The sequence below is a fragment of the Homo sapiens genome, chromosome 5, assembly GCF_000001405.40.
Source record: "Homo sapiens chromosome 5, GRCh38.p14 Primary Assembly".
Taxonomy (NCBI): domain Eukaryota; kingdom Metazoa; phylum Chordata; class Mammalia; order Primates; family Hominidae; genus Homo; species Homo sapiens.
The window spans coordinates 143,755,309-143,763,046 of record NC_000005.10 but is presented as its reverse complement, the minus strand read 5'-3'; the positions used below and the strand labels follow the sequence as shown (position 1 = coordinate 143,763,046).

The window sequence follows — 7,738 nt, the reverse complement described above, 5'->3', positions numbered from 1 at the left end:
AGTGAGAAATTTAGAAGTAAATTCAAGTGCTTCATTTTCCATCTTCAGATCTGAAGACCAAGCGATATAAATACTCAACTGGTGCTGGACTGGCTGAAATTTGAGATCTCTTTAGACCATGTAGCTCTGTGATGATATCGAAGGCCTTTTTAGAATAGTCGTGATGATGATGATGATGATGATGATGATGATGATGATGATGATGATGAAACCCATAAAAACTCTTGAAGATGAGAGGGTGGAAGAAGGGATGTTTAGAAACTTCACATAGGTTGTGTGTGTTCAAGTGGACAATGGGAATTTGGAAGCACGCAGAGTATATTTACACCCAGCTGAATTTTGGCTGAATAGTGGCCTCTCAAATAGGTCCATATCCTAATTGCCAGAATCGGTGAATTACCTAATACAGAAAAATGGACTTAGCATGTGTGATTAAGTGAAGGACCTTGAGATGGGGAGATTATCCTTGATTATCCAAGTGGATGTAATGGAAACACAGCAGTTCTTCAAAGAGGGATGCAGGAGGCATCAGCGTCAGAGGAGAAAGCCATGTACTAATGGAAGCAGGGATTGAAACAATGCTAACTGAAGGTAGAGGGGATCACAGACCAAAGAATATAGGCGGCAACTAGAAGGTGAAAAAGGTAAGGAAGATTCTCCCTTCAGAGACTCCTGAAGAAGCCAGCCAGCAGACACCTTGACTTTAGCACAGTGAAACTGATTTTGGACTTCTAACTTCCAGAACTTGAGAAGTAAGAGATAAACTGGTTTCATTTTAAGCCACTAAATTTGTGGTAATTTGTTATAGCAGCAGTAAAAATCTTATACAGTGACACTAGCCAGAAATGAAATAGCTGCCTGAACACTTTTTCTACCGAATAATTCCTTAAAGAAAAATGAGTTTTAAAAGGCAAGTCGTAGCATTAACATGATGTGCTTGTGGCTGCAGAATTCATATTACAAGTAAGTAGCAGAAATCCTGACACTGCCCAGTAACATGGTTGGCTCCAGGAGGTTTTGCCTATGTTTTCACTTTTATGGACAGTAGGGCTGGTCTTTAAGTCTGACCTCTCTCATGACCTCCAAACCCACATTTCTGATTGCCACATTTCTAGGCTTCTAACCCTTGGATGTCCTTGGACATCCTACTACAACCCAGGGTTAACAGATGAAATCCAATGTCGTCATCTTTCTAGGAAAGCACACAGTCAATATCCTGGGATTCTTTCTCATCATACAGGATCTGCTTGCAAAAGTCATACCACTGTCCCCCGGTCCTCCTTATTTCCTTTTTGATTGCATACTATCACCCAAACCCAAAACGTTATGTCACCTTTGGCAGCTCCTTCTGGGCTCAATCATTATTTAATTAGCCAGCCAAGCACTGTAGGATTTGTTCTCTGCTTTCTACTTCCACTGTTCTGTTCAAGCTAAGGTCCTGGAAATCTGCTGCAAAGACAGTGGCCTCCTAATGATTTCAAATTTCAGTCTCCAGTGCTTGTTTCCACATTCCCAGATAAATATTCCTAAAGGAATGTCCCTTCTAATTATGTCATTTCACTGCTTTCCTTTGTTCACCATGGCAAGTAAAAATTCTTCACATTCCCCTCCCTCTTCTCATTTTATTTTCCTTCTCTTCCCTATTCCTATACCCTTCCTTTACCTTCTAATCTAGGACACTTGCTGTTCTCCAACAAACCTTGCTCCCCCACCTCCATGTCCTTAATCTATATTTGTTCTTTGAGTAGAAAATTCTCCTTACGGGAGCCTCATTCTTGCGTGCTGAAATATTGCCTATGTAAAATAAAGTAATAAGATATGGTGATTTTAAAATATGGCCACCCATTCGTTAATGTGTTTCTCTTCAAAAGAGGGAAGGGAGTCTAATTCCCTTCCTCTTGAGTGTAGGTTAGACTAAGACTTGATTTGAATGAATAGAATATGGTAGAAGTGACACTGTGTAACTTTAAGGTCATAAAAAGCATTGTGGCTGCCTTCCTGCCTCCCCTGGGAAGCTATCTGCTATGTCATGAGAATACTCTATGAAGAAATTCTATGGACAGGACCATGTGGCAAGGAACTGAGGCATCCTGCCATGTGAGTGAACCATCTTACAGCCCCACCAAAGGCTCAGATGACAGCATCCCCAGATGACACCTTGACTGCAACTTTATGAGGGACCCCGAGCCAGAAGCATCTAGCTAAGCCACTCCTAAACTCCCAGCCCACAGACACTGTGATATAATAAGTGTTCATTGTTTAAAGCCATTGTATTTTGGGATAATTTCTTATTCAGTAATAGATCATTAATACAATAGTCATTTTTTATTATTTCAACAAGAATTTATTGAATGCATTTGATATGTTGGATTAGAACCCAGGGCCTGGGAATGCAGGAGTGAGCTTACAAATCTGGTGTCTGCTCTTAGGCTAATTACAGTCTGGCAGGGAAACACACACTAAATGAGTAATTACTTACATAATTATCTAATTACCATTATGGTAATATCTATAAAGTAGGAGACAATTGAGCCATGATAACATTAACTAATCTGCTTTGGCAGAGTTGGGAAGACTTCTAAGCACTAAGACTTCTAGGAGTCCCCACGTGATGGTCCAGGGCTTTGAAGAGGCCTTTGGGCAGCAGTAGAATCCAGTGGTTAGAAAGGTGATCTCTAGATCCAACTGCTTGGATTTGAATCATCTCTGGCTCTTAGTAATTGCATGACTTCCAGCAACTTTCTTACCTCTGACCCTCAGTTTTCTCATCTGAAAGTGGCCATAATAATCATTTTTGGATGGACTAAATGACTCATACATGTGAGGCATCTAGAATAGTGTCTGGCATGTTGATTGTGCTCAATAGAAATTAGCTACTCCATTTTGAGTTTCTCTGCCTGGTCCATTTTTGGATTCTAAGTCAATGTACCTAGCCCATCACTCTTAAGTCCTAACTCCATCTCTGTATGACATAATTGTGAATCCTGTTTCATTAACCCAAAGCCATAAGAAGTCACCTTCTTGGAACATAACTTTGGGTGACACACCAAGTTGACACCTGGGATTGAGAGGTTTTAGGGTGTTAGAAGCAGAAGGACACCCAGGAGGTCCTTACAAAACTCTTGCATCATGCCAGCTCAGGAACAGACCTACACAAACACCACAAATTCTTTGCCTCCAGACTTGCACAATTTGTACAATTTTTAGTATTATACAACTAAGCCTTCTAATATAGCAAGAGACTTCCATCCAGATCCAATTAAAGATTTTTTTATGTCATCACTGCATTTTCCTCTAAATGCTTAAAAAATGCTTGTCATGCAGTGAAATGTAATAGGACACAGAAGGAAAAGAAATTAGTTGCAAACACTTTGGCTCATACAAATGAATGAAGATGTATTTTTAAAGGATATATCCAGGCAAGATTAAAACTCAGAATAGCCTACCCATGTGATATGAGTCAGCACCACACAAATAACATAGATGGTAAACTGTACACCTCCTAACACATGAACCAAAAGTGCCTATAAAATATTCTGAACTGACAGTTGGAGTGTGTGGCTGTAGCTACAAAATTAAACACACACAGACACAGACACACACACACACACACAACAATAGATAAGGGGAAAACGTTCATTCAAGTGTATGTTGGTGCTGTGCAAAGTGTTTGATTTTAATTGAGCTTAAGCCCCCTTTTCTCTGTCTCTCCTCATCATTTAACCATGCCTACCCTGAAACTTAGACAAATCTGGATCAGAAAATCATTAAGACACCCCCCAAAAATAAAAGCTTAGCTACTACCCTATCCTGCTAATTTGCTTATTTTTCCCCACTCATTGTTTGCTAGTATCTCTTCCGATTATCTCCTGTAGTGCCAAACATTTTGTGTCGAACAGCAAATTCTGCCTTTTACATTATCCAAAATAATTGTTCTAGACGGGATGGGGAAATATCATTTTTCTACTCAAAACAATTTCCAGATGAACAATCATGACTTGCACTACTCATATGCAACAGGCTTTTCCAGGCATTTTTGGCACGAGAGGGAACTCATAATAATGATACTGAAACTGTTAGATGCACTGAAGTGTCCGTTGAAATGAACCACACCACCAAACTTGACATGCAAAATGAACATATTTTGTTAGCTCACTCACTTCAGGAGAGCTGTAATTCACTTTAAGAAATTAGAGATTTCCTTTGACCAGGCCTATGAGGATGAGGTGGAACTAAAAGCTGTCAACAGTCATTCTTTCCAAATTGCTTTGGCCATTCTGCACAGGTTTATGCACATAGTGCACTCAGAAGCAGTGAAATAATTCCAAAAGCATGGAGCTGTATCAACGGATCCCAGTGAAATGCACAGGCAATATTTGGGGTCATAGATGAATTTATATCAGCAAAACTTTAACCCATGTTCCCTGAGCTACTCGCAACTCTTAGTGTGGACTTTTTAAAGACATGGTCACGCTGAGGTCGGTGTTGTGGTAAAAGGTACATTGCATTCCAGAAAGATGTTATTTTGATTCACAAAATGTGTATTTATTAAGACTTTTTTCCACAAGTAATAGAGATTCTCCTTGGCTTAAATAAGAATGGAGAATTTATTTTAAAGACACAGGTTTTACTTGAACTTTAGGTCAAGACACAGCCAGTTCTTGCAAGAACTGGACACAGTAAGCTAGGTAGCATTCTTTCTCTCCTGCCCCTGTGTGTGCTGCTCGGCACTGGGATCTTTGCCTTGGCAGCCACAGGCCTCCCAATAGCAGCAGCTGAATCCAATATGCAGTTTTTCAACATATGCAGCACCAGCTTCATTTCACCCCCGTAAGTACATCAGCCCAAGCACTGGCTGGCCAATGCCTCCTCCTCAGAAATCTAAAACTAGCTCCATAGAGTGCTTCCTCTGAGCTACAGCTCTGGGGCCCCTCCTCCATGCTTCTAAATTGTCATCATTCCAGTGTCTTCCTTTTGGGCCTTCAGCCCTAAGAGTGATAGCTGCTTCCTATAATTGCTACCTCCAAGTTTTTTCTTTTTGGTTACATAATTGGCAACTTTAGATCTAGTTAACATTTCTTTGTATTAAATTATTTCTTTTTCAAATAACTGGAGAGTTTTCTGTCTCATTGGACCCTGACTGATGTAGGTGTCTATTATTGAACTACATTACTTCTGCAGTCCTTCTAGCTTTAAAATTTTCTAATACATAAATACACTTTGGTAAATGACAAATATTATATGATTATAATAACAGTAGCTGAGCATTAATGACAAATGCCTATACTCTAAGGGCCATGATCAGAGGTGTACTTTGGCTATCTCATTTAGTCCTCACAATAATCCTATGTGGCATGTCACATGCATATTCTTTGCAGAAGAGGTAACTGAGGTTCAGGGAACTTGCACAGCCTATGCAAGACGGAAGGCTAGTAAGTAAGTGATAGAGCCTAATATTCAATGTGGTTACTGGTTCTTCTCTTTGTTCTTTTCAACCAGCTCTCATAGCACTTAACCATGGTGTAGTAGTTACTCGATTTCATGACAGTTCCCCTCAGGCAGAAAGATCAGAATAAGAGCAGAGACCAAGGTTTTATCTAGCTTTTATGTCTAATGTAGTCACTAGTATGGAAGGCCCACAGTAAATGTTTGTTGAGTTGAAGTTTGAAACTTGAAGAAACCAATCTGGAGGATTTGAAAAGACAGAATGACTCATGAAGAGAAGTTAAGTCCTAGAGCTATTTGGAGCAGCCAATTGAAATGGCTTTCAAAACAGATGCAGGCCTTGGCATCTAAACAGTATGATTGTGTGCCCAGGAAAGGAGAATTTCATGCAAGTTACTTTGTATGCAGGATCCAAGTAAGTTTTCAGAAACTGATGTCAACCCAAGAAGGGTGGACCTGAATCCCAGAGAGAAAAGTCTTCGTTATGAACACACAAGAGACCTCTGGTTTGAACTAAAAACTCCAACTGATATTAAGTGGAGGACATATAATTTCCTAATTCAAACATAATTTTGCCCTAAGATGTCATTATACTTTAAAACAGTAGATCGGGTGCGGTGGCTCACGCCTGTAATCCCATCGCTTTGGGAGGCCGAAGCGGGCAGATCACTTGAGGTCAGGAGTTCAAGACTAGCCTGGAGAACATGATGAAACCCTGTTTATACTAAAAAATATAAAAAGTTAGCTGGGCGTGGTGGCAGGCGCCTGTAATCCCAGCTACTTGGGAGGCTGAGGCAGGAGAATTGCTTGAACCTAAGAGGTGGAGGTTGCAGTGAGCCGAGATTGTGCCATTGCACTCCAGCCTGGGTGACAGAGTGATACTCTGTCTCAAAAAAAGAAAAAAACAGTAGTTGGTCCACTTTTATATGGCCATAAGGAGACCCAATGGCGTTGCTTTTATGGTGAGATAAACCCTAGTTCCTGGGAAGTAATAGCAGACAGTGACCCAAACTATAGTGACATTAGCAGAAACCCTTTCAATTAGAGATTATCCCAAGGCTTCATCTAGTTAGGGTGCAGCATTTCCTCTTGAGAAAAGTATAACCATTTTTCTCTAAATTGGATGGCTTAACTATTACCACATCGGTAAGTTATACAGTTGAAAATTTAAACTCTTTATATTCAAAGCACCAGAATGACCTAGAGAATCAATTGATTTGTCCTGCTATTCAGTGAAATTTTTCTGTAGTTTCAAGTGCACCAAAATGTGTATTGACAAAAGAAAAATAATTAGTTCAAAAAATTTTAGAAACTTTCAAATTTACACACTTGGGAAGTTATTTTACATTTCCTTTCCGAGTGTGCCCATTTGTTTGGGATTAATAAATGCTCAGGCACTCAGCTGCTCACATATTTTTCACAGCTGTTTGTTAAGAGACCCTGAGAATGTTTCAAAGTTCAAGTTGGTGTCAAGCTGTTTGAATTTCCAAATTCAACTTCTAGGCAAAAAAAGCTAGAATCTCTCAAGTCTGTTGTTATGGACTTTTTGGTGCTATTTCAATGCAAGAAATTCACTTTTTGTTTTGTTTTGTTTTGCATCACAAATGGATCATGTTTTATTGACTATTAAACTATGAATCTTTAAAAAAAGAGTTGAATGGTCATGAAGGTATGACTTTTTCTGTTTCCCTTATAATGAGAACGTTTCCCTGTAGAAATATATGACTTAATAAACTTACAAAACTTTAGACTGTGATAAAATATCCAAAATTCATCCATACCCAAGTGAACTAAAAATCTTAACTAATCTTTCTCAACTATCTAGCCCTTAGTTTCTCCATAAATATAAAGCAAGACACTCACAAAAAAAAAAAAAAAAAAAAAAACTAATTTTTTTTTTTTTTGAGACAAGAGTCTCACTCTATTGCCCAGGCTGGAGTCCAGTAGTGCAATCTTGGCTCACTGCAACATTTACCTCCTGGGTTCAAGCTATTTTCCTGCCTCAGCCTCCCGAGTAGCAGAATTACAGGCGCATATCACCATGCCTGGCTAATTTTTGTATTTTTAGTAGAGACAGGGTTTTACCATGTTGGCCAGGCTGGTCTCAAACTCCTGACCTCAGGTGATCCACGCGCCTTGACCTCCTAAAGTGCTGGGATTATAGGCATGAGCCACGGTGTCCGGCCTAAATTACAATTTTGATGGCTATCCCTCCAAATGCCAAGTGATAAAGTAATGGCCTTCAACTAAATATTGAAAATCTGCATATTAAAAATTGAAAATCTGCATAGGA

General features: G+C 39.5%; 1 annotated feature.

Moving 5' to 3' along the window:
- Positions 2,881-2,940: an enhancer, noted in NCBI's record as "active region_23350". NCBI's record gives its function as "activates an Ori minimal core promoter by ATAC-STARR-seq in GM12878 lymphoblastoid cells {active_cell/tissue: GM12878}" and the evidence as "EXISTENCE:reporter gene assay evidence [ECO:0000049][PMID:35858748]".